Consider the following 26,685-nt stretch of genomic DNA (forward strand, 5'->3'; position numbering starts at 1 on the left):
GGTATTATTCACTCCTTGTGAGTCAGTTACTCAGATTGCCAAAAAAGTAATTTTTCATGTGGTGTTCATGGAAAAAGTATAGAAAGGTAGTGAAGAGGAAAGAAGAGAGAATTAGGGTAAGGGCCTTAAACAAGGACCCCCTTTTTGTTCTCTTTAACCCATGAACCCATGGATAATGGATGTGTCATTGCCGTTTTTTTTTTTTTTTTTTTTTTTTGAGGCAAGGTCTCCCTCTGTAGCCCAGCCTGAAACGCAGTAGTGCAATCATAGCTCCCTGTAACCTCGACCTCCTGGGCTCAAGTGATCCTCCCGCCTCAGTTTTTTGAGCAGCTGGGACTACAGGCATGCACCACCACACCCAGCCAACTTTTAAAATTCTGTGGCAAGATGCGGTCTTGCTATGTTGGCCAGACTGGTCTTGAACTCAAGTGATACTTCCCGTCTTGGACCCACAAAGTGCTGGGATTACAGGTGTGAGCCACTGTGTCCAGTTCATTGCCTCTTTTAAACTATTTAATTTTTCTCCTTAGGGTTGAGTTCTGGCCACTGATTTGCTGAGTGACCTTTGACAAATCGCTGTACCTTGCTGGGTATGTTGCTTTTTCTGAAGGGTAGTGGTAGAGGGAGATATTTCTTTATCAGAAAAAATGAGCAAATGGGGCTAGATGTGATATTTGTTAGAATTATAAATAAAAGCAGCCGGGCGTAGTAGCTCATGCCTGTAATCCCAGCACTTTGGGAGGTGGAGATGGGTGGATCACTTGAGGTCAGGAGTTCACTGGCCAACACAGTGAAACCCCATCTCTACTAAAAATACAAAAATTAGGCTGGTATGGTGGTGCACGCCTATAATCCCAGCTACTCGGGAAGCTGAGGCAGGAGATTGGCTTGATCCCGGGAGGTGGAGGTTGCAGTGAGCCGAGATCTCGCCACCACTGCACTTCATCCTGGGCGACAAAGTGAGACTCTGTCTCAAAAAAAAAAAAAAAAAAAAAGGTGATGTGCTAAGCATTCTGCTAGGCATTTTCTACATATCGCTGATTTGATCCCCACCATGGCCGTATTAGCCACTTTTTGTCCTTTCCTAGACTTGTATTCTAGAAACACTTGTTCAGCTCCTTCTCTGTGCTTCTTATTCTCATACACTGTCAGGGCACAAGTCATGTATGACCAGTTCCTTGTCTTCAAGAAGCTTATATTCAGATTGGAAAAGTAAAGTTAAACTAGATATTAAATTGTTATGGTCTAAACTGTGCACTCCAGCCTGGGTGACAGAGTGAGACTCTGTTTATTTCTTTTTATTTTTTTGGGGGGTACAGAGTCTCAGGCTGGAGTGCAGTGGCACGATCTTGGCTCACTGCAACCTCTGCCTCCCAGGTTCAAGCAATTCTCCTGCCTCAGCCTCCCGAGTTGCTAGGATTATAAGTGGTAGCTAGGATTACAGCTACCATGCCACCACGCCTCGCTAATTTTTGTATTTTTGGTAGAGACGGGGTTTCATCATGTTGGCTGGGCTGGTCTTGAACTCCGGACCTCAGGTGATGTGCCTGCCTCGGCCTCCCAAAGTGCTGGGATTACAGGCATGAGCCACCATGCCCGGCAACTCTGTTTAAAAAAAAAAAAAAAAAAAAATTAAACGGAGTGGTACTGACCTAAATGCAGTAAGAGTTACATTAAATTACCCATTGCTGTGTAACACAGTACCACAAAGTTAGCAGCTTAAAGCAACAAGTATATACTATCTCACAGTTTCTATTGGTGTTAGGAGTCTGGGCTGGGCTTAACTGGGTCCTTGGCTCACGGCATCACAAGACTGCTTTCAAGGTGCCAGCTGGGCTGTGTTTCTTTGTGGAGCCCAGGATCCTCTTCTAAGTTCATGTGGTTGCTGGGAGAATTTCTTGAGGGTGTAGGACTGAGGACCCCAGTTTCTTGGTGTCAGCCCAGAGCCACACTGAGCACCTAGAGAGGGCCCTGCAGTTCCTACTGTGTGGCCCTCTCCACAGGCACTTCACAACATGGCAGCTTGCTTCCTCAAGGCTGGCACAAGTCTCCTGCTCTAGTCTGCTAAGAAGTGTTATATAATGTCATATAATCATGGGAGTGACACATCCTCACCTTTGCCATATTCTATTGCCTAGAAGCAAGTCACAGGTTCTACCCACACTCAAGAGGAAGGGATTACACAAGAGCATGACTCACTGAGGGGGATCACCTGAAGGTATATTTGCCTCAGGAATTTAGAAAAGAGGGATGTCAGAGTGAACTGGAGTCCCCAGGGGAGGCTTTATGGAAGGACTTCAGCCAGGTCTTAAAGGAAGAGTAGAATTTAGTTCAGCAAAGGGAAATAAAGAGGCAGAACATCTAGGACCAAAGAACTCCATGAGCAAAAGTATGGAGGTGGGATTCTCACCTAAGTAATTCCTACACAAAAAGGTAACAGAAACCTGACGACCTTGCAGATCACAAGGGGTAGGAGGAACTTTTTCTTATTGAACCAAAGGGAAGCTGGGTAGGGGAAGGAGAATGTCCTGGCTTAGTGTCAGAAAATTTGGGTTCAAGGTTCAGGTCTGGTATTAACTAGCAGTGTGACTGGGACCTGCTGGTTATCTGAGCCTAGCTTCTTGTGACCATTTCGATTGACTTTGTTATTGTGAGAACGAGACAAGCTCTTGGATGCAAAGTGCTCTGTCAATGGTCCAGATCCTATTTCTGAAAGCAGCATCATTGACTCCCACTCTCTCTGGGTCCCCCAGCCCCCTGGCTCCTCTTTCACTGGATGCTCTCCCTCTTTCAGTCTCCTAAATGGGGTGACCATGGGAGCAGATTCTCCACGTTCTGGACTTGGCACTCTTCTCATCTGACTGCACAGTATGTTTTGGGGTTCTCATCTACCACCACCCAGGGCTGATGGCTCCCAAATCTAAGTTCTGGCCCAGACTCCTTTCCCCAGGTCCACACTCATGTGTTCAACCAGTTGTTGGACAATTCCTCTGGGCTTTCCCAAAGGCCCCAAATTAAACTAATCTTCTTCTTGTTTAAATCAAACAAATTTAAACAAATTAAATTAATTTTCCCTGCAAACCTCTTCCGCTTCCTTTTTATGCCATGTCTTGGGGAATCACATCACCATGTCAGGAATCTTATGTCATTCCTTCCTCCCCTACCTTTGCACCTGAGATCCTAGTGGTCACCAAGTCCCTTCTCTCCTGTGCATCCCCCTCCTTGTATTCCCACCACTACTGCCCTAGTTGGCACCTCATTAATTCCCACTGGAATCACTGCAAATGCTTCATAACTGATCTTTCTATCTGACTTCATTCTCCACACATCCTGCAGCATGAACTTTTTGAAGCACAGATTTGTGAATGCCTGTGCTCTGCTTAAAAGCAATCAGAGGCCCCTCACTAATAAGGAATGAAATTCAAACTCCTGGGCATGATATTTGATTTTTTTTTTTTTTGAGACAGAGTCTTGCTCTGTTGCCCAGGCTGGAGTGCAGTGGCGCAATCTCGGCTCACTGCAAGCTCTGCCTCCTAGGTTCACGCCATTCTCCTGCCTCAGCCTCCCGAGTAGCTGGGACTACGGGTGCCCGCCACCATGCCCGGCTAATTTTTTTATTTTTTATTTTTTGTATTTTTAGTAGAGAAGGGGTTTCACCATGTTAGCCAGGATGGTCTCGATCTCCTGACCTCGTGATCCGCCCACCTCGGCCTCCCAAAGTGCCGGGATTACAGGCGTGAGCCACAGCGCCCGGCCGATATTCGATATTTTAAGCCCTCCTGGATCTGACTCTTGCCCACCTCCCCTGTCCACTTCCTGTCTCCTCTGCTCCAGTCCTACTGAACTGTGTGGTCTCACACTGTACTGTGTTCTTTCAAATCTCTGTGTGTTTGAATATGCTGTTTCCTTTGTCAGAAATGCCCTTCCACCACTATCCTTCTCTGCCGCAATTGCTAACTCTTCTCATCTGTAATCACTTAGCTCAGCTCTCCCATTTCGTGAGTCATCTTCCCTAACTCCTCCCTCTGGATACGTGGAAGTCCCTCCGATGTGCAATCCTAGCAGCTTGTGCAGGACTCTCCTCACAGCTCTCATCATGCTCTATTGCAATGGTTTTTTGTTTTCTCTCCTGCTAGATTGTGAATTCTCACCAGCAGTAATGGTGTCTTATTTTCTTTTGTTATTTTAATGCTCTGATCATCTTTTCTTCCAACCTGATCCTTTCTAAATATTTTTAAATTTATTTTTTGAATAGGCAACACTCATGTGACTGAAAATTCAGAAGTTACATAAAGGTATAAAGTGAAAAGTCTCTCTCCTACCCCTGTCCCCGCCTCTGACACCCTAGCTATCCAGTCTCCCTCCCCAGCAGCAATCAGTGTTATCAATTTCTTGTGAATACTTCTAAAGATATAAAAATATATATGGTTCCCTTTTATTTTATTATTATCTTTTTAGATGGAGTCTTGCTCTGTCGCCAGGCTGGAGTGCAGTGGCGTGATCTTGGCTCACTGCAACCTCCACCTCCCAGGTTCAAGCGATTCTCCTGCCTCAGCCTTCTGATGAATACAGGCACCTGCCATTATGCCCGGCTAATTTTTGTATTTGTTTTGTTTTGTTTGTTTTTGAGACAGAGTCTTGCTCTGTTGCCCAGGCTGGAGTGCAGTGGCACAATCTCAGCTCACTGCAACCTCCACCTCCCGGGTTCAAGTGATTCTTCTGCCTCAGCCTCCCGAGTAGCTGGGACTACAGGTGTGCACCACCACACCCGGCTAATTTTTGTATTTTTAGTGGAGACGGGGTTTCGCCATGTTAGCCAGGCTGGTCTCAAACTCCTGACCTCAGGTGATCCACCCACCTCGGCCTCCCAAAGTGTTGGGATTACAGGCGTGAGCCACCGTGCCTGGCCCATGGTTCCCGTTTTATATACAAATAGTATCATGTTGTATAGATTGTGCTGCACTTTGTTTTCACCAAATCATATATAGTATTGATGATATGATCATTCCATATAAGTGCATACAGAGCTTCCTTATTCTGTGTTTACATTGATTCAATTTTCCATTGTGGATACATTATGATTTAACAAATAAACATTAGGTTGTTTTCAGTCTTTTGTGAATACAAACAATGCTGCAATGACTTAACTTCATAAAAACATCACTTCACACATGTGCAAGTGTAACAGTAGAATGAACTCCTGGAAGTGGAATCGCCTTCAGTTTGAGGAATATGTGTATTTGTAAGTTTGACCATGTCCTGTTGCCTTTCGGGGACATTCAGTATATTTTTATCTAATTCAGAGTAGGCATTCAGTATATTTTTATCTAATAAACCAATGAAAAAATAACTCTTTTAGGGGAGGCTCCCTTCTTTTTCCTTTCTCTGATGCCTTGCTTTCCCCATCCAGTGCTCAGTTCAAACCAAATTATTCATATTCAATCCAAATGCCACTATTATTTTGGAGCAAAACTCTTATATCAACTTTATTGTGTAACTAGTCAAGATCCTTCTTCATTAGCTTGGTTGTAAAATAAGGTCATATTAATTTTTATGTTCTAATTATAATGACTTTGAGTCCTCATCCCATATTTTGTGAGATCTCATCTTTGTTTTTTGGAGACAGGATCTCACTCTGATGGTCAGGCTGGAGTACAGTGGTGTGATCTCAGCTCTCTGCAGCCTTGACCTCCTAGGCTGAAGCGATCCTCCCACCTAAACCTCCTAAGTAGCTGGGACTACAGGTATGTGCCATCATGCCCAGCTGCTTTTTTTTTTTTTTTAGATATAGTCTCGCTCAGCCACCAGCTAATTTTTTATTTTTTGTTGAGATGGGGTCTCACTATGTTGCCCAGTTTGGTCTTGAACTCCTGGGCTCAAGGAATCCTCCCACCTCGGTCTCCCAAAGTGCTGGTATTACAGGCATGAGCCACCACACCCAGCCTTTAAAAATTTGGGGGGACTCTTTTGTAATAACAGTTAGCTTAAAACACAAACACATTGTACAGATGTACAAAATATTTTCTTTCTTTATATCTTTATTCCATAAGCTTTTTTTCTATTTAAGGCAATTTTTAATTTTATGTTTTAAACTTTTTTTTTTGGTTAAAAACTAAGACTTAAACACAAACATAGCCTATGCCTACACCAGATCTGGATCATCAATTTCACTGTCTTCCACCTCCATCTCTTGTCTCACTGGAAGGTCTTCATGGGTAATAACATGCACAGAGCTGTCATCTGATGGTAACAATAACTGGGGCCAGGCACAGTGGCTCACACCTGTAATCCCAGCACTTTGGGAGGCTGAGGTGGTTGGATCACCTGAGGTCAGGAGTTCGAGACCAGCTTGGCCAACATGGTGAAACCCTGTCTCTACTAAAAATACCAAAAAATTAGCCAGGCATGGTGGCGCATGCGTTTAATCGCAAGGGATTTGGGAGGCTGAGGCAGGAGAATCACTTGAACCTGGGAGGCAGAGGTTGCGGTGAGCCGATATCGTGCCATTGCATTCCAGCCTGGGCGATAAGAGCGAAACTCCATCTTAAAAAAAAAAAAAACAAAAAAACAAAACAAAACAAAAAAACACAATACTTGGAATACGTGGAAAAAAATCACAATACTTAGAATACCTAGAATACCTTCTGAAGGACCTGCCTGAGGCTGCTTTACAGTTAACTTAAAAAAAAAAGTAGAAGGAGTACACTCTAAAATAGTGATAAAAACTACAGTGAATTCATAAACTAGTAACATAGTTCTTACCATTATCAAGTATTATGTACTGTACATAATCATATGTGCTATACTTTCACATGACTGGCAGTGCAGGTTTGTTAACACCAGCATCACTCCAAACATGTGAGTAATGCTTGTGCTATGACCTTATGGTGGCTACTGTGCCACTAGGTGATAGACATTTTTCAGCTCCATTATCATCTTAGGGGGCCTCCCTCGTGTTTGCAGTCCATTGTAGACCAAAATGTCCTTATGTGGCACATGACTGTAGTTGCAATACAGGACAAGAAAGTTGCACAATAACTGGGCCTTAGTTCCTGATACTTAGTAGCTGGATGACTTTGAGCACTCTAAGGTTGTTTCCTAATAACGTAAAATAGGGAAGCTAATCGTGATCCGGTTGCCTCACAGGTTGTTGGGCCCTGGTCAACATATAAGTTACTGTGCCAAAAAATGAGTTGATATAATTTAAGACTGTGTTGAATCACAAACGTTAAGTTATTCTAACATTATTGTTTTTTAGAGGTTATGAAATGAAAGGGGGGGGGGCGAAAAACTTGGTCCGCATCAAGAACTGAATCATTTTACCACGCTGGGTGCTGGGTTATACTCTCCCCACCCAGCAGATCAAACTCCTAACCCAGCATGAAAGATAAACTACAACTCCCGGCAGGCCTTGCTTCCGAACTGCGTCTTATAACCTCGGCTCAGGCCCAGGCCCAGACCGCTCCCCGCCCCCGCCACCCATAAACTACATCTCCCAGGAGGCCCCACGGTGCCCGATTGTCCGCTTTTCGCCCGCCCCCTGCCTCCTCTTCACCCCGCGCCAGCAGCTCGGTGGCCGAGTCGGTCCCGCGGCCGGCGGATCGGGCGCGCGCGTCGGGGGTCGTCCGGCTGCCAGGCAGGGCGAGCACGCGCCGGGAGGCCTTGGAGGCGTAGGGGGCGGGGGTACGGCTCGCCTGCTCGCAAGATGGCGGACGAGGACGGGGAAGGGATTCATCCCTCAGCCCCTCACAGGAACGGAGGTGGCGGCGGCGGCGGGGGGTCTGGGCTCCACTGCGCCGGGAACGGCGGCGGGGGAGGCGGCGGCCCGCGGGTCGTGCGCATCGTCAAGTCCGAGTCCGGCTACGGCTTCAACGTGCGGGGCCAAGTGAGCGAGGGCGGGCAACTGCGGAGCATCAACGGGGAGCTGTACGCGCCGCTGCAGCATGTGAGCGCCGTGCTGCCCGGGGGGGCGGCCGATCGGGCCGGGGTGCGCAAGGGGGACCGCATCCTGGAGGTGTGAGTATCGGGGCTACCCGCCGCCCCATCCTCCCCGCGCCCCTCCTGCCCCTGCACTCCTCGCTACCCTTGTCACCCCCAGGCCGCACCTCCCCCGAGCTCCGAGCCGGCCTCCGGACCCCCGCCCCTCAGGCCTCCGCAGCCGGGCCCCTCCTTGTGGGCTGCCCTCCCACCACCCGCCCCGGGGCTTCTGCGACGCCGGTCTCCCACCCCGTCGTCTCCAGCTGATGCCCTTGCGCCCCCAGTGCTCCTCCCTGTGCCCCGATTACTCTGGGCTCTTCTCCGCCCCTTTGCCTTCCCGTTTGGCGTGCTGCATTCTGCTCCTCACTCCCCCTCGTCTTGCTCAGAAGGAACCTCATCTGCTCCTTACTGACGGCGTTTCGTTTTCTGATCCAGCCAGTACCGTGTCCCCCCCAAGTTCTCATCTTCAGCATCGCAGTTTCGTTCTCCACCACTCCCCTCCGCCCCCGTGGACTGCCCCTTCTGCCCTCCAGACCAAGTAGGCAGGACCTCTGGTCTGCTCCTACTTTTCCTCCGGAAACACCATCCCTCCCCGCTCGTCTCCTTTTTCTTTCCTTAGTTACCCTCTCCTCATGGTTACGCTGCCCCTAAATTTTTCCATCCCACCGTGTGCCCCTTTCCTCCCCTCCTTTTTGTATTTCTACTCCAAGAGTTTACCTTGCTTTCTGACCCTTGCATGCCTTTGGGGTGGGGGGCGTGGGATTTGACACCGTAGTTTCTCTTCTCGGTTGGCCCCGTATCACACCCTAATTTGGAATCTAGCGTCTCCATCAGCACACCCCTCTGAGAGCATCCCTTCCCTGGCCTCCTGCCTTCACTCCTGCTCTATACTCATGCCTCCTCCTAGTCAGGTTTATGGTAGACCCCTTGTAACTCCTCCTCCTTCAAAACTACTTCAAGCCCTTTTTGGGTCTTTGACCGCTTTGCTTTTTTAGGGCATGCCCGTCTCTGCTGCCTCTTCTACTCTATCCTCCTGTGATCCCACACTTGACTTTGTCCTAGTCTTTCCCTCCCCTAGGCTGCTTTTCCTTTCTTCTGTTTTTTAAGGCGCCTTCTGCTGCTGCAGCCCACCCTCTCTCCCCTGCTGCAGTCCCTCCCCCTTCATACGCCTCCCCCACCACATCCCTCCATGCTCTTGCGGGATGCTGCCTTGTCTTGCAATCTCTGTGCACACCGCCTCCATTACCCTAATCTAGGTGTTACATTTGCCTTTTTGTACTTCGTATTGAAATTCGGATAGTGATTGCCGGTTGACTTGCAGGTGGTGTGTGCTCGCGTTGTCTCCGTTCTCCTCAGCAGTCTTCAGTGCTGTGTTTCTGCTTACTGAATCTATGTTGTGCATTCCTTTTTTACACTTTTACTCTCTCCCTCCATATTTCGATTTGCCCACTTGAAATCGTTCTCATTTTTTATAAATTTTAATTGTAATTTCCGCAACCTTCTGTTGCCTCTTGTAAAACAGTAGGTTTGCAAAAGGGATAGTTTTTTGAAAATCTGCCTTATAGAGAAATCCATTCCTTCTTACTCATCTCGTGCCATCTACCCTTATCCTTGACATTCTTAACTCCATGGTGTCCACTCATTCTGTTTCCTCACCTCTTCCACCTCAAGAAATGGTTGGTTTTAACCTGGGAGAGTTGATTGAAAAAAAAAAAAAGAAATAGTTGCTCACCTAGGCCAGTGTTTGGAGACAGTATACCTTTCCTCTGTCCTTTCTGTAAATAGATGCTTTCTTGTTTCATTAATGTCCTACATACTGTTTCCTAGTATTCCTAGTATTGTCTGACAATATATTCTTTTTTTTTCCTTGAGATGGAGTTTTGATCGTCACCCAGGCTGGAGTGCAGTGGCGCGATCTCGGCTCACTGCAACCTCCGCCTCCCGGGTTCAAGCGATTCTCCTGCCTCAGCCTCCTGAGTAGCTGGGATTACAGGCATGTGTCATCATGACCAGCTAATTTTGTATTTTTAGTAGAGACGGGTTTCACCATGTTGGCCAGGCTGGTCTGAAACTCCTGACCTCAGGTGATCCGCCCGCCTCGGCCTCCCAAAGTGCTGGGATTACAATAATGACTTTCAGATTTCTTATACTTGGGCACCTAATTATTTTCTTTCTAGATAACTCAAAATTTGTGGCTGATGTTTTCTTCCAATAGAAGGTCTCAGAATTGTCACTTTCCTTTCCCTTTGGAAGTTAATTTTGGACTCAGCTTCTTATTTTTAAATTTAAAACTAAAGCATTTATAATTATAAATTTATGATGAAGTTCTACATTATTTACTCTTCACAGGATCTAAAGGAACTAAACCAAAAAGAATAATTCTGTAGGAGACTATAGTTAATATGATCTATCTTTGCAGATACACGCACACATCCCAACATACATAGTTAGTGGCTTCTTGCCTTTATTGTGGCTTCTGCCCAAGAGCCTAGGTATAAACTGTAAAGGAGACCTCAGATAATCCCCTAGGAAAGGTAGAAGGACTTGCCTTAGGCTCAGGTTCCAGACTAGGAAGCTGGGAAATCTTTGCCTTCTAGAGAAAAAACATTACTTTTTGGCACATCCTTTGTGGTAAGTAGAGAACTTTGTCACTTTTAGTGGGCAGGGGAAAAGAATACTCTGCCTAGAAGACCTCTCTGGAAGGTTGTGATAATCAGAAATCTTCCTGGCATTGGTTTCTCACTCTTCCAACTATCTGTATTTTGATTTCCAAATTCTCTGAACCTTCTTTGGTACTATAGGGGAAGTAATGATAATTACAGCCCAAAGCCAAGCTAGTGGTACATTCTGTGAGACCCCAACTATACAGTGTCTTTCTCTTTTCTTTTTTTTTTTCTTCCTTTCTTCGATAGTCTGCGCCTTCTCTTTAGGGTTTCAAGTGAGAGGGGAAATCAGCAACCAAATAGATGTGGTTCTTGAGGGATATCTGTGCCCGCTACTTGTCTCGATCTTGGTTAGGTTGATGCTAATTTTCCTAAAGCATTTTTTAGGCAATACTCCTTAGAGCTTTTGTCTGTCCTCCAAGTTCTTAAAGTTTACCTCTGTTGTCCCAGGAAAGCTTTGCATGTTGCTGAAGAGCCAGGTGGGGTCAGAATTAGGGATAGGTGGATTATCATTGTGTGGATATAGTTTGTATCAAGTCATAGGTGAATGTATGGACCTTGATAATTGCTATTTAAGACTTTTCCCTATTTTAGATTCTTCTATTGTGTTTACAAATTGTTTTTGTAACAATTTTCGTATTTTTCAGTTGTTTGGACAACTGACAGTGGTGTGAAAGAACAGAGTAACTTTGAAATTTAAGGGCATACAAACTTGGACACAAGTAAGAGCTTCAGTTTCTTTGTGTTTCTTTTAAAGTCGGCTTACCAAGGCTCTGTCCTAATCTTTAGTCCTGAAACTAAATTGGAGCCCATATGGTTCAGTTTGCCTTTTCTCCTTTCAAAACTGTCTAGATTCTAACAGGGCTTGGTACTGCAGTATGAACAAGCCCTCTGGGCTCTAAATTTTACTGCAGATGGAAAGTTTTTTTGACTAGCAAAGCTGGTTTCCACCTTGTAATTTTTCCCAGTGTAACATATACTGAGTGTTTTCCCTTTGATGTGTATGTACCTGGAGGCTAATGAGTAAAGAATGCTTTCAACAAACAGAACCAAAATAAATATGTCTTTGCACTAATTATATAGTATGTGAAGTAACATTTGACTTCAGGTTAATTTTCTTAAGGTTAAAGTAGTTCCAAGGACTCTTGATTGATTTCTCGAGAGACGCTGCTGGAAGGTTTTAGTGTGTGGTGGATATGGATATAAAACTGTCTGTATTTTTGAAGGATTAGTTTAAGCATGGACCACTAAGATTGGCTTGCAAGCATTCAAAATCATGATATATTTATGCTAGTCAGTATATATGCTTTCCTCTTTGATAGCCACCAGATAATAGACTCATCAACTTTCCCTCATTAAAGTCATAAGATAAAATAAAACTGTGTATATCAATTTGTTTTTTGAAAGTCAGTTTTTTAACTTCATTTTATGTGAGAGTTTGAAAATGAATTAAAGAGGCTGGTGCCACAAGAAGTATTTTTATGAGTTAAGTGTGAGTCATGTAACACAGACTAGGTACCGTCTCAAAAGCCGCTTTCTCAATTGCAACTGAATTCTATTTGACTGATATTTTCTAGGTAGATTTTGGTAATGTTTGAAATAATGAAATCATGGTTATTGATCAAAGGAAATTTGTTTGGCAGCGGTTCTCAGGCTTTAGGGTACATGAGAAGCACTTGGGTGTGCTTATCTAAAGTACAGATTCTCAGGCTCACCTTTTAAGGGTTATGATTCAGTAGATCTTTCATAGGGCCTAGAAATCTTTATTTTTTTACTCCTTTGCCAGGTGTGGGTAATGCAACCCACATACTCAGTTACATGCCCAGGGTGATGCAGTAGGTTGTAGGCCTTGGATTCTCAGTTCATTTTATCTTCATGATTATATTGAGAGTAATGAGCTAAGGTTATACCAACAAATAGTGAATTGTTAGGCTCTCGAATTCCAACCTAAGTGGAAAATCAGTTAAATACTAACTGTTCTATCTGATCGTCTATACTTTATTTATTGGATCTTGCTAAGCTCTTGAAATAAAGATGGATGGTTAAGAGGTAGCACAAGTTAATATTAATAGTTATAATAATCATTTTACTGCTTTGCAGCGTGTATAGTGTGTTATAGTTTGTAGTTTTATTTATTTATTTATTTATTTATTTATTTAGAGACAGCGTTTCACTCTTGTTGCCCAGGCTGGAGTGCAGTGGTGCGATCTCGGCTCACTGCAACCTCCGCCTCCCGGGTTCAAGCAATTCCCCTGCCTCAGCTTCCCAAGCAGCTGGGATTACAGGCATGTGCCACCACGCCCATCTAATTTTTGTATTTTTAGTAGAGACGGGGTTTCTCCATGTTGGTCAGGCCAGGCTGGTCTCAAACTCCCCACCTCAGGTGATCAGCCCGCCTCGGCCTCCCAAAGTGCTGGGATTACAGGCATGAGCCACTGCGCCCAGTCAGTCTGTAGTGTTTTTACATCTGATCTTCACACAGTCCTGTGAGATAGGAAGATTATAAGCTCATCAAGGGCAGGGACTACATCAAATACTATGTATTTGTTGTATCCCTAGCCAAATGTCTGGTGGCCCATGGAAAGTATTCTTCAGTAAATACTTGCCAAATGAATATATGAGTATTATCCCTATTTTATAAGACAGGAAATGGAAACTGAGTGTTGTACCAATGAATGGCAACCAGAATTAAATCCAGATCTTTGGATTCTAGATCTTGAATATTTTCTCTTTTTAGAGCTGTTTTTTTTTTTTTTTTTTTTTTTAAAGAGATAGGAGTCTCACTATGTTGCCCAGGCTGTACTTGAATTCTGGGCTCAAGTGATCCTCCCACCTCAGCCTTCCGAGTAGCTGGCACTACAGGCATGCACTACCACACCTGGCTAATTTTTTTGTACTTTTTTTTTTTTTTTGTAGAGATGGGGTTGCCATGTTGCCCAGTGTGGTCTTGAACCCCTGGCCTCAAGTGATCTGCCCACTTTGGCCTCCTAAACCGCTGGCATTGCAGGCTTGAGCACCTGGCTGCTTAAAATTCAGTTACATTCATATAAACGTCGATAGTGGTTGAACTTTGGTTCTACTATTGTGAAATGTAACTATTTTATATCTTTATTTACTCACTATTACCCATTGTTAAATTGGATGAGAGACAGGGGACTAAAGCAGGCATTCTTTGCCTTTATTATTGCTATCTTTACCCTGTTGGTTATCAGTGAAGACAGCAGAACAATCATTTTTAAATTCCTTTTAATTTCACAGGTAGTTGAGGTTGCAAACAAATAAAACTAAATTTGAAAATAGCATTACCTTCCCCTCAGAAATCACTTCCACAGATTGCTGTAACCAGGAAAATATATTTTATTAGTAGCATAACAATTTGTCTGGGTCTTTTAACTTATTGTGAAGAACAGTTCTTTTTCCATCCACCACTGACCAGTTTTTTTCAGATGAGGGCCTGTTACCATGCTCTCAAAGATAATTATTTTTCTAGGTAAGTCCCATTGGGAATAATTCTTATGACCTTGTAGATAAGCAAAGAGACTTAATTGACAAGCAGACACTTAACAATTTATGATCACTGCTCAAAATGCTTTTTGAGCATAATCTTTGGCAGGTTCATTCATTAGATGATGGCATTGCTGACAAAAGGATATTGTGGTGGTTTAGGTTAGAGCCATTTAGGTTCATTCTTTTCTTCCACCTCAGCTATACAGATGTTTTCTGTGCTTCTTGGGCAATCCAGTAAGAGCCCATGGATGGGTTGGTACAGTTCAGCCCACATTTGGAAAAAAATTTTAGGCAGTTTTAAAATATCTTTTAAAAAATTGCAGCTCATAGTAAGAGATACATTTTACATTATAACCTAATATATATGCAAAAAAAAAAAACACCTGAAATAAGCTTCACAAAAATTATGTTTACTGGCCAGGCACAGTGGCTCACGCCTGTAATCCCAGCACTTTGGGAAGCCGAGGTGGGCGGATCACTTGAGCTCAGGAATTCGAAACCAGCCTGGGCAACATGGTGAAACCTCATCTCTGCAAAAAATACAAAAGTTAGCCACGTGTGGTGGCGCATGCCTATAGTCCCAGCTACTCAGGAGGCTGAGGTGGGAGGATTGCTGGAGCCTGGGATGTTGAGGCTGCAGTGAGCCATGATCACATCACTGACCTCAAGCCTGGGAGACAGAAACCCTGTCTCAAAAATAAAACAAAACTGAACACCAGAGTGCATGATACCAGTAAATACAGTTTTTTTGGTTTCTTTTTTCCTCTCACCTTAGCCTTCCAGAAAGCTGGGACCATAGGCGTATGCCACCATGCCCAGCTAATTTTTTGTATTTTTTGTAGAGACAGGGTTTCACCATGTTGCCCAGGCTGGTCTGAGATTCCTGGGCTGAAGTGATCCGCTTGCCTCGGCTTCCCAAAGTGCTGGGATTACAGGTGTGAGCCACCGTGCCGGGCCCACTCTGGTATTTTTTAGTTTGTTCATATTTTGAGTTTCTTTGTTCTGTTTTTTTGAGTGCTGGTGGTGGCCTGGTACATTAATTTCACAACTCATTAGGTTGTGATCCACTGTCTGAAAAACAGTAATTTAGGGCATCACTTTTCCTGATATTGGCATGCTAAATATTACTTCATACTCAGTTTGGTTCCACAAGTAAGCACACACTGTATATAAAGAACTGCTTGGCTTGTATGAGTCACAGGGTCTCTGCATCCCTGCCTTTGAGAAGCTTACACTGCAGTAGGGAAGGTAAACAATTTGCTGTGTGTAAAGCTAAACGAGGTAATAGAGATAAATGAAAAGCACAATCGAAGTATAGAGGCAGGAGTGAATATGCCTAAGAAGACTGGTGGGGAGACAGCTCATACAAGGCTTTTAAACTGGATTGAAGAACAAATAAAACTTCAGAGAAGGGGCAAGGATTTTATAGGTTGAGGAAAACTGTGACCAAAGAGGGGAAAATGTGAAAAGCTCTTAGGCTAGCAAGGGGCTTAAAGTTGCTGTTTGTCTGTAGACATTTGTGATGATAGAAACTGGAAAGGAAGGTTGCAGTAAGATTTTAAAAAGATGGCTTTGAATGTAATCCCAAGAAGTTTGGATTTTTTTCTCTTTATGAGCTCAGAATATAGCTGTGTGTGCATTAATACCCAGGACTTCCTGTGAATTCAGTTTTATATAATTATTTACCAGAAGAAGTTGAATAACTTTTCCAAGGCGAAAGAGGAAAATCACTATTAGAATTAGAGTAATTTCAGAGCCATCTAGTCTCTTGGACTGTCTTGTACTATATAAAGAAGGGAACTAAGAACAACTAAGCTCTGACACCCAGAACTGGGAACAGCTGGTGAGGAGCTGGTTGCCTTTAACTTGTGTTTGTATTTTATTTCACAATCGAATCCAGCTTCTCAGTTATCCTTTCTCTTTCTCTTCTGTTTTAAATGACTATACTTACTATTGTGTTTACAATTGATAACTTTCATCCTTGTGTGCTACAAGCCTGTTGTGTTCTAGCTCTACTTTCCTCCAAGTCTGTTCCTCTGATTTGAAGATGCTTTTTTTTTTTTTGTGACAGAGTCTTGCTCTGTCGCCTAGGCTGGAGAGCAGTGGCACGATCTCGGCTCACTGCAACCTCAGCCTCCCAGGTTCAAGCAATTCTCCTGCCTTAGCCTCCTGAGTAGCTGGGATTACAGGTGTGCACCACCATGCCCAGCTGAATTGTTTGTATTTTTAGTAGAGACCGGGTTTCACCATGCTGGCCAGGCTGGTCTTGAACTCATGACCTCGTAGTCCACCCACCTCGGCCTCCCAAAGTACTGGGATTACAGGCATAAGCCACTGCACCTGGCCGAAGATGCTTCTTTTAATTTAAATCTTTTATTTTGGCATACAGCATGTTGGGAGCTGAGTGGACTGAAGACGGGGGGGAAACTTAATGTGGTACTAAAGTTTACACTTAATACCTACCTTCAAAATGAAAATTCATGTGAAGCTCCTTCAAATAAGTTTAAGACCTGGTGGTGATCACAAAGTGAATTGTTGCTTTCTTTCATAATATTCGTACTCCAGGGTTAAATTTTGTGGTATGGTATTAGTCAAATGCTAGGTAGTATGTGTGTAGTCTCTTGTTTATTATTTATTGCTCCCTGCCAACTAAATAAGGTTCTCATAATAGTTGAGGAAATGTGCCTTTCTGCAAGGTATTGAGTTGCTGAATAAGGAGTTGTATTTGAGTACTCTTATGTGTACTTCCTCAGTGAACTTCCACTGATACGAAAACATCTTTTAAGAAATGGTCTGTTTTTGCTTAAGCTGTCTGAAACTTTTTAGATTCTTGTGTCAAACCTCAGAGCAAGACCAGAATGATAGGCCTATGTTTTCTACAGGCCTGATACACAAGGAATTAGCTTACTTCCCTCTGGAAAAGTACAGGCAGTCTGCAGAGAGTCAGCTGCTCTGGTGCATGCTCTCCCAGCTGCTTTCAAGAGGCTGATTACTCTTAAAGAACTTTCAATAAGATTATTAACTAGGAAGGTTGTCTCTTCCACCCGCAAATACCACAGTACTTTTATATCTATGTGTTGATCTAGTTTTATTTATATTTATTTATTATGTTTTAAAAATTGGGAGATTGATTAAATGAATATTTGGAGATCTTGGAAAGCATGATGGCCTCTGAGAATTTTGGAAACTTTTTCTACTTATTTTGCTGATCAGTTTAATCATCTAGAACGTTTGTTCCTGCCTCTGTCTTTACTTGGAAACAGCAATGAGTTTTGTTCTCTCTACCTGAGGTTTTGTATCAAGGAAATGTGACACTGAAGTTTCGTTTGTGAGTTATGTGCTAGTAGATTATTTTAGATTTCCCTGTCTTACCCAGTTATCTTTTATATTCCTCATTTGGAAAAGGTCCGACTGTACCTTTCTTCTCTTTCAATATGTTGGAATGGACTACAGACTTACAGAAATTGTAGTCTGTGTTTCTCATTTCCAAAATAAATTGCTCAAATTTAATTTGGATTAAAAGATGGTATTTGATCGTCAAAGGGTCATATCCCTTCAAAAGTATATCTTGTTACTAATTTGTAAAGACTGTCTTTCATAAATGAAGGTATTTCAGCTGTTTTTTTCAGTTGTCATGATAGATTACACTATCTGTTCACATTCATGTACAGGACCACTTGGGATTAATTGAATATATAGGAAATGGGTGGTTGAGATTCAGGGTTCAGGTTGCGGCCCCAGAACAAATTTACCAGATCACGTGAGGGATAATGTTTTTAATTACATTATGTAGTAATTCAGAAATAGTAGTGTAATAGAACTTCAGAATTATCAAAATTTTTTTTCCTTTGATGATTTACTTGACTTGCAAACCAAGGTTATTGATAAAACAAGTATATTTTATTCTTTAATTAACTTTCACTGTGGTCAGTATACCAAGTTAAAATCATCTGGGGGTAGCATTTAAATTGGCCATGTTGACAATGATTCAAAATGTAGCAGCTCTCAAACACTGAGTTGGTGTTGGGAAATAATTTAGGACTAGTTGTGTTTTGGTGGTGAACAACTGAGTGGGGGATCCTCAGAAATGTGTAGGAGGAAAATGAGTTACTTTAGGAAAATCATCATGGCTATTAGCAACTTTCTTTCCCATTTCTTTTTTTTAAATTTAATTTATTTTTCTTGCCCAGCCTGGAGTGTAGTGGTGCGATCACAGCTTACTGAAGCCACAACCTCCTGGACTCAAGGGATTCTCCCATCTCAGCCTCCCAAGTAGCTGGGACCACATGCATGTACTACACCTGGCTAGTTTTTATATTATTTGTTTATTTTATTTACTTATTTTTTTTGAAACAGTCTTGCCCTGTCGCCCAGGCTGGAGTGCAGTGGTATGATCTCAGCTCACTGCAACCTCCCCCTCCCAGGTCCAAGTGATTATCCTGCCTCAGCCTCCCAAGTAGCTGGGATTACAGGCACATGCCACCATACCTGCCTAATATATATATATATTTTTTTTTTGAGATGGAGTCTCGCTGTCGCCCAGGCTGGAGTGCAGTGGCACGATTTTGGCTTACTGCAATTCTGCCTCCCAGGTTCAAGTGATTCTCCTGACTCAGCCTCCCGAGTAGCTGGGACTACAGGTGCGGGCCACCATACTTGGCTAATTTTTTGTATTTTTAGTAGAGACGGGGTTTCACCTTGTTAGCCAGGATGGTCTCTATCTTCTGACCTCGTGATCCGCCCACCTTGGCCTCCCAAAGTGCTGGGATTACAGGCGTGAGCCACCGCGCCCAGTATTTTTTAATAGAGACGGGGTTTCACCATGTTGGCCAGTCTGGTCTTCTCCTGACCTCAGTGATCTGCCTGCCTTGGCCGCCCAAAATGCTGAGATTACAGGCATGAGCCACCACTCCTAACCTAATTTTTATATTTTTTTTGTAGAGACAAGGTCCCACTTTGTTGCCCAGACTGGTCTTGAACTTGTGGATTCAAATGATCCTCCCGTCTCGGCCTCCCAAAGTGCTGGGATTATAAGTATGAGCCACTGCGCCTGACCCTTTCCCATTTCTAACATTTATTGTCCTCCAGTACAAAGAAGTAACCCATTGTCATGTCTACTCTATGATAGGCTAGAACTATAGGGTTGCTCTATATTGATCAGGTTTTTAAAGATAAAAATGAAAAAAAAATCCTATCCAGACAAAATAAATCAGTGTTTTATATTTTTGGAGCATCAGAACTTACTTTAAGACCTCACTGGTAATTCTTTAGCCTCTCACATGTGATAAAGACATTGTGCTTACATTTTTTAAAAATTTATTTATTTATTTATTTTAGAGACAAGGTATCACTCTTTCACCCATGCTGGAGTGCAGTGGCACAATCATAACTCACTGCAGCTATTGATCTCCTGGGCTCAAGTGATCCTTCTGCCTCAGCCTCCTGAGTAGCTGGGACTATGGGTGTGTGCCACCATACACAGCTCATTTTTAAAAATTTTTTTGTAAAGTTAGGGTCTTGCTATGTTCCCCAGGCTGGTCTCAAACTCCTGGGCTCAAGCCGTCCTCCTGCCTTGGCCTCCCAAAGTGTTGGGATTACAGGAGTGAGCCACCTCACCTGGCCTAAAATTCTAAAACTAGAATTTTGTATTCTACTAAGAGTGAAATGGACAGGTTTGTTTTTATTCTTGGTGACAAGTGGTTACATTGGCTTTTCAGGTAATGATCAGATAATAAATGAGCTTTTTTTTTCTGAATAGCTTGATTTTATATATATATATATATATATATGTATTTTTTTTTTTTTTGCGATGGAGTCTTGCTCTGTCGCCCAGGCTGGAGTGCAGTGGCGTGATCTTGGCTCATTGCAACCTCCATCTTCTGGGTTCAAGCAATTCTCTGGTCTCAGCCTCCCAAGTAGCAGGGACTATAGGCACCTGCCAGCACGCCCGGCTAATTTCTGTATTTTTAATAGAGATGGGGTTTCACCATATTGATCAGGTTGGTCTCGAACTCCTGACCTCAGGTGATACACCTACCTCGGCCTCCCAAAAAGCTGGGATTACAGACATGAGCCACCACGCCCGGCCAGCTTGATTATATTTTTATATTTATTTTTTAAATATCTTAAATCCTTAGCCTTATTATACTTTTTTCTCTGAATGACAAGTATGATTCATTTATTTGGAAATAAATCTACCTGATTATATTTGTATACTGATTGCCTTGGAGTTAGAAGGTTTGAGGAATCTGTAATTCTTTCTTCCCCAGTAATAAACTCTTGTTACTTCTGGCTGGAGGTATTAAGGTTGAAGAACAGATGAGTCTTATTTGTACTTCTTCTGCCTCAGGCAGCATTCTTTGTAAATAGAACACCCGGTCAAAGGTAAAAAGTCCCAGTGATGGTAAGCAACTTATTTGACAAGTTATTTATTCTTTTTTTTCCTTTTTGGGAAGACCAGATGCCAATTAACATACTTCTCAGTTTCTCAGCTTTGCCAGGGGCAAACTTTATTGTTATTAATACGCGCTTTTGCCCAGTGTTAAATTTTTGGACGTAGGTGCTTTAAAAATACTGGTGTAGGCCAGGCGCTGTGGCTGACGCCTGTAATCCCAGTACTTTGGGAGGCCGAAGCGGCAGATCACTTGAGGTCAGGGGTTCGAGACTAGCCTGGCCAACATGGTGAAACCCCGTCTTCATTAAAAATACAAAAATTAGTCAGGTGTGGTGGCATGCACCTGTAATCCTAACTACTGGGGAGGCTGAGGCAGGAGAATTGCTTGAACCAAGGAGATGGAGATTGCAGTGAGCTGAGATCATGCCACTGCACTCCAGCCTGGGTGACAGAGCAAGACTCTGTCTCAAAAAAAAAAAAAGATAAATAAAAAAATATTGGTATAAAGGTTGAATCTGGCCAGGTGTGGTGGCTCATGCCTGTAATCTGAGCACTATGGGAGGCTGAAGGGGCAGATCACTTGAGGTCATGAGTTCAAGACCAGCTGATCAACATGGTGAAACCCCGTCTCTACTATAAACACAAAAATTAGCGGGAGAATCACTTGAACCGGGGCGGTGGAAGTTGCAGTGATTCGAGACCACACCAGTGCACTCTATCCTGGCAACAGAGCAAGACTCTGTGTCCAAAAAAAAAAAAAAAAAGCAGGGTGTGGTGGCACACACCTGTAATCCCTGCTGCTCGGGAGGCTGAGGCAGGAGAATTGCTTGAGCCTGGGAGGCAGAGGTTGTAGTGAGCCGAGATCAGGCCACTGCATTCCAGAGCTTGGGCAACAGAGTGAGACTGTGTCACCAAAAAAAAAATAAAATAAAAATAAAAGATTGGGCCGGGCGCAATGGCCCACACATGTAATCCCAGCTACTCTGGAGGCTGAAGCAGGAGAATGACATGAACCCAGGAGGTGTCGCTTGCAGTGAGCCGAGATGGCGCCACTGCACTCCACCCTGGGCGACAGAGCGAGACTCCGTTTCAAAAAAATAAAAAATAAAATTAAAAAAGATTGAATCAATCTTTCCATACTTAAAAAAAGGTACCAAAGGATTTGAGAAGTAAAGCTCTCTCTATAAAACCTTGGAAATTTGTTCAATTTGGTCTGTATGTGATTAACTTTTTTTTTTTTGTTTTTCCCTACATTTGCCAAAGATGAGACCTAATTAGAATTAAATGAAGGTTTTTTTGGCTTGTTTTTATTTTTGGACTTATTTTGAGCCAAGACACTTTTATATTGTCTCTTTCTAAAAAAGAATAATTTGTCAGAATTATTGCATTAAAAGAATGTTTTATGATAATGGTTTTAAAAATCAGGAAGAGAATACTGTTTTATCATGAGATTCAAGAGATCAAGACCATCCTGGCCAGCATGGAGAAACCTGTCTCTACTGAAAATGCAAAAAATTAGCTGGGTGTGGTGGCGTGCCCCTGTAGTCCCAGCTACTTGGGAGGCTGAGGCAGGAGAATCACTTGAACTTGGGAGGCAGAGGTTGCAGTGAGCCAAGATCGTGCCACTGCACTCCAGCCTGGGCGACAGAGCAAGACTCCGTCTAAATAAATAAATAAATAAATAAATAAATGTAAAATGAAGAAGAGAAAACTTAAATTGATTGAAATTTTGGGACCCTATAACTTTGAGGTTGTTGTTTTCTGCTCACTTGTATTTAGGCAGTTGCTAAGGCTGGTCAGTGGTTACACTAAATCATGACTGAAGAGAGACAAGATAGTTTTTGTTTTGTTTTGTTTTCTAATACTGTAAAGTGCTCCAGGCTCATCTTGTATATTTCCTGCTGTAGTCCTAGAATCAACCATTTATTTAAAGGTCCCTGGTTCCTTTATTGGTTTTACAGACCAAGATCTGGGCATTCTGGGCATTAGGGTGTGGTTTCTTTTAGGCCATTTCGGCTGACAGCAAAGAAATTTGTGTGTGTATATTAACTCTTGTGTATATACATATCTATAAATACTTCTCTATGTAACCCTCTGTATTATATTAAATTAAACATGAGTTCTGATTCTTCATCTCTACTGCATTACCACATGGATTATTCTAGCCTCCTCCCCTTGCTGATCTTCCGTGAATTTCCATTCCACAGTGAGAAACTTGGCTTTTCCCATCTGCCACCCATTTACTTAATTGTTCAATTCCAATACACTTGTTTAGCAGTATCAGAATTGTTAACGAGTACCCTCGTGGAAAACAACTTTATTGACTAAAGTACAGTACTTATTGGTAGTCCCTTTTGCGTTTAGTCTTATGGACTCTTTTCCTTTACAGTCACTTAGATCCATAACTTTTCCTCTACTCACTTTAGTAAGGTTTTTAAAAATACCTTTGAAATACAGTTAGGTTCTCTTGTCACAGTCTGGGATTCTTCCAACCTACTAACTGATTTTTAAAATATTTGCATATATTAAGGTTCACACTGTTCTTGGTGTTTTTTGTTTTTGTTTTTTTAAATAGAGATGGGGTTTCGCCATGATGCCCAGGCTGGTCTCGAACTCCTGGGCTCAAACAGTCCACCCGCTTTGGCTTCCCAAAGTGCTAGGATTACAGGTGTAAGCCACTGCGCCTGGCCAAGGTTCACTCTTTGTTCTATAAAGTTCTATAGATTTTGACATGCATTATGTCATATATGCACCATTACAGTATCGTACAGAATAATTTCACTACCCTAAAAATTCCCTGTGCTTCGCTAATTCATCCTTATCTTCTCCACAGGCCCCTGGTAACCACTGATCTTTGCCTTTTCTGGAATGTCATATAATTGGAATAATACATATATAGTAGCCTTTCAGACTGGCTTCTTTCCCTTGGCAACATGGACTTAAGGTTCCTGCATGTCTTTTCATGACTGTTTTTTTTTTTTTTTTTTTAGATGGAATTTCACTCTGTCGCCCAGGCTGGAGTGCAGTGGTGCAATCTTGGCTCACTGCAACCTACACCTCCTGGGTTCAAGCGATTCTCCTGCCGCAGCCTCTTGAGTAGCTGGGATTACAGGCGCCCGCCACCATGCCCAGCTAATTTTTGTATTTTTAGTAGTGATGGGGTTTTACCGTATTGGCCAGGCTGGTGTCAAACTCCTGACCTCAGGTGAAACGCCCATCTTCGCCTACCTAAGTACTGGGATTGCAGGCATGAGCCACTGCGTCCGACCTTTTCTTGGCTTAATAGCTCATTTCTTCTTTTAGAGGCATAATACTCAACTGTATGGCTCTTCCACAGATTGTTTATTCATCTATTGAAGGACATCTTGGTTACTTACAGTTTTTTGGCAATTATGAATAAAGCTGCCATAAACATTTATTTACGTGCAGGTTTTTGTGTAGATGTAAGTTTTCAGCTCAGTTGGGTAAATACCTGGGAATGTGATTGCTGGATCTTATGGTAAGACTGTAAAAAGCTGCCAAACTGTCTTCCAAAATGACTATCATTTTGTATTCCCACCAGCAGTGAATGAGGATTGCTGTTGCTCCACATCCTCACCAGCATTTGGTATTTGGTATTACCAGGTTTTTTGATTTTAGGCATTCTAATAGGCGTGTAGTGGTATCTTGTTTTCATTTGCAGTTCCCTGATGATGAATGATATTGAGCATCTTATATGCTTATTTGCCATCTGTATATCTTCCTTGGTGAGGTATCTGTCCAGATATTTTGCCCATTTTTAAATTGGGTTGTTTGTTTTCTTATTGTTGAGTTTTAATAGCTCTTTGTATATTTTGGATACAAGTGTTTTATCAGATGTGTGTTTTGCAAATATTTTCTCCTAGTCTGTTTTGTTTTTTCATTCTCTTAACAGTGTCTCTTGCAGAGCAGAAGTTTTCAATTTTAATAAAGTTCAACTTAGCAATTTTTTTCCTTCATGGATCATGCTTTTTGGTGTTGTAGCTGAGATCTCATTGCCAACCCCCTAGATTTTCTCCTATGTTATCTTTTAGAAGTTTTGTAGATTTGTATTTTTGTAATCCACTTTTAGGCAGCATTGGCTCAAACATTTCTAGATTATTTTGTTCTTCATGTTTACAATTTTACATGATTGCTTTCTAGTTTGTTAAATTATTGTACTACAATTTTCTTACATTTTCATCCCCCTATTGACTTTTTATAAAAACAAATTTGGAAACAACCTAAATAATAATGGATATGTTTGTGCTTAGCTTTTTTGTGTTTAGGCGCTTGCTTCAGCAGCCCATATAGTAAAATTAGAACGATACAGAGAAGATTAGCATGGCCCCTGTGGAAGGATCATACGTAAATTTGTGAAGTGTTCCATATATATACACGCACATATATACACATGTATATATACGTATATATACATATATACGTATATATACATGTATGCGTATATATATACATATATACACGTATATATACATGTATACGTATATATATGTTTGTATATATGTGTGTGTATATATGTGTATATATATAATTTTTTTTTTTTTTTGAGACAGAGTCTCACTCTGTTGACCAGGCTGGAGTGCAGTGGGGCAATCTCAGCTCACTGCAACCTCTGCTTCCTGGGTTCAAGCGATTCTCCTGCCTGAGCCTCCTGAGGGTCTACATGTGCGTGCCACCATGCCCGGCTAATTTTTTGTATTTTTGGTAGAGACGGGGTTTTACCATGTTGGCCAGGCTGGCCTTAAACTCCTGACCTCAGGTGATCTGCCTGCCTCAGCCTCCCAAAGTGCTGGGATTACAGGCGTGAGCCAATGTGCCCGGCCACTGTTCCATATATATATATATTTTTTTGTGAGGCCAGCCTGATCAACGTGGTGAAGCCCTGTCTCTACTGAAAATACAAAAATTAGCAGGGCGTGGTGGCCTGCACCTGTAATCCCAGCTACTCAGGAGGCTGAGGCAGGAGAATCGCTTGAACCCGGGAGGCGAAGGTTGTAGTGAGCCGAGATCGCACCACTGCACTCCAGCCTGGGCGACAGAGTGAGACTTTGTCTCAAAAAAAAAAAAAGAAACTTTTTTGTGTTTGGGATTATTTCATTTATTCTTAGAAGAAATACTTGAGAGTGTTCTGCATACCATTGTAAAATTTTTGCCCTTACGAAGCTCATATTTTGGTCATTGCCTTAGGATAAATTCTCAGTAATACAATTATTAGTTAAAATATTATGACCATTTTTATATCTTTAGATGCATATTGCCAGTGAAATTACTTTCTAAAGGATTTTACCTATTTATAAAACCATCTCATATTCTAGATGATAAAAGTTGATATTAAAAATAATTAAGATAATAATTTTTTATTTTAAAAGTTGTTGACCAGATTTTACTATTTATTAGAAAATGCAAGCATTTTGGAAAACTTTGGCCATTTACTTTCTCTTGTTGTGCTTTTATCATCCATCAATAAATAAGATGCTCTAAGATGTGAGGGGCAAAATATTATTATTTCTAAAACAACATTCCAAATGTCTTTGATATTTAGTGATCCAGAATGGAAATTTTGTTTAAATCTGTTCAAGCTTCACAACTATTTTGGCTGCATTCATTGCTTACACATGTCTAATCTTATATCTCAAGAGTTTAAGGGCAAAGTATAGTATGATTGCTTATATAATTAGTCAGTAAGAATATTCTTCGGCCGGGCACGGTGGCTCACGCCTGTAATCCCAGCACTTTGGGAGGCCGAGGTGGGTGGATCACGAGGTCAGGAGATCGAGACCATCCTGGCTAACACGGTGAAACCCCGTCTCTACTAAAAATACAAAAATTAGCTGGGTGTGGTGGCGGGCGCCTGTAGTTCCAGCTACTCGGGAGGCTGAGGCGGGAGAATGGCGTGAACCCGGGAGGCGGAGCTGGCAGTGAGCTGAGATTGTGCCACTGCACTCTAGCCTGGGCGACAGAGTGAGACTCCGTCTCAAAAAAAAGAATATTCTTCCACTTGTTTGCCTAAGTAAGATAGCAAGGAGGCAGAGTTAGATGAAAAGGAGACAAACTGAACCAGTCAGATGATTTAACTGCAAAAATTAGAAAGGACAGACCCTTACATTTTGGTGGAGTAGTTCCTTG

At 42.5% G+C, this 26,685-nt stretch overlaps 1 protein-coding gene, 1 long non-coding RNA gene and 1 pseudogene across 11 annotated transcripts in view, besides 4 other annotated features; 2 read left to right on the top strand and 1 right to left on the bottom strand.

The window, feature by feature from the left end:
* Positions 1-6,020: 6,020 nt before the first annotated feature.
* Positions 6,021-8,872, bottom strand: LOC124904420 (uncharacterized). The gene is made up of 2 exons (XR_007066622.1): positions 8,695-8,872; positions 6,021-7,903 (listed from the first exon to the last, which is right to left on the bottom strand). It is a non-coding gene; the product is annotated as an uncharacterized LOC124904420 (long non-coding RNA).
* Positions 7,330-7,429: an enhancer, noted in NCBI's record as "active region_1723". NCBI's record gives its function as "activates an Ori minimal core promoter by ATAC-STARR-seq in GM12878 lymphoblastoid cells {active_cell/tissue: GM12878}" and the evidence as "EXISTENCE:reporter gene assay evidence [ECO:0000049][PMID:35858748]".
* Positions 7,470-7,909: a silencer, noted in NCBI's record as "silent region_1324". NCBI's record gives its function as "represses an Ori minimal core promoter by ATAC-STARR-seq in GM12878 lymphoblastoid cells {active_cell/tissue: GM12878}" and the evidence as "EXISTENCE:reporter gene assay evidence [ECO:0000049][PMID:35858748]".
* Positions 7,554-26,685, top strand: part of SNX27 (sorting nexin 27) — an 87,031-nt gene continuing 67,899 nt past the window's right edge. For 4 of the 10 annotated variants that reach the window (NM_001437604.1, NM_001437602.1, NM_001437603.1 and 1 more), the window contains exon 1: positions 7,554-7,945. In NM_001437604.1, coding sequence (NP_001424533.1) covers positions 7,944-7,945 — 2 coding nt within the window. In that variant the 5' untranslated portion in view covers positions 7,554-7,943. Of the gene's footprint in view, positions 8,017-26,685 lie in introns of all 10 variants that reach the window. The other 6 variants (NM_030918.6, NM_001330723.2, NM_001437607.1 and 3 more) reach the window with 2 other exon arrangements.
* Positions 14,126-14,626: an enhancer, noted in NCBI's record as "H3K4me1 hESC enhancer chr1:151591098-151591598 (GRCh37/hg19 assembly coordinates)". NCBI's record gives its function as "activates a minimal SCP1, AML or CMV promoter by ChIP-STARR-seq in naive H9 embryonic stem cells {active_cell/tissue: H9 hESC(naive)}" and the evidence as "EXISTENCE:reporter gene assay evidence [ECO:0000049][PMID:30033119]".
* Positions 14,627-15,127: an enhancer, noted in NCBI's record as "H3K4me1 hESC enhancer chr1:151591599-151592099 (GRCh37/hg19 assembly coordinates)". NCBI's record gives its function as "activates a minimal SCP1, AML or CMV promoter by ChIP-STARR-seq in naive H9 embryonic stem cells {active_cell/tissue: H9 hESC(naive)}" and the evidence as "EXISTENCE:reporter gene assay evidence [ECO:0000049][PMID:30033119]".
* On the top strand, positions 24,830-24,930 carry RNU6-1062P (RNA, U6 small nuclear 1062, pseudogene; annotated as a pseudogene).

This window comes from Homo sapiens, chromosome 1, assembly GCF_000001405.40.
Source record: "Homo sapiens chromosome 1, GRCh38.p14 Primary Assembly".
Lineage (NCBI taxonomy): Eukaryota > Metazoa > Chordata > Mammalia > Primates > Hominidae > Homo > Homo sapiens.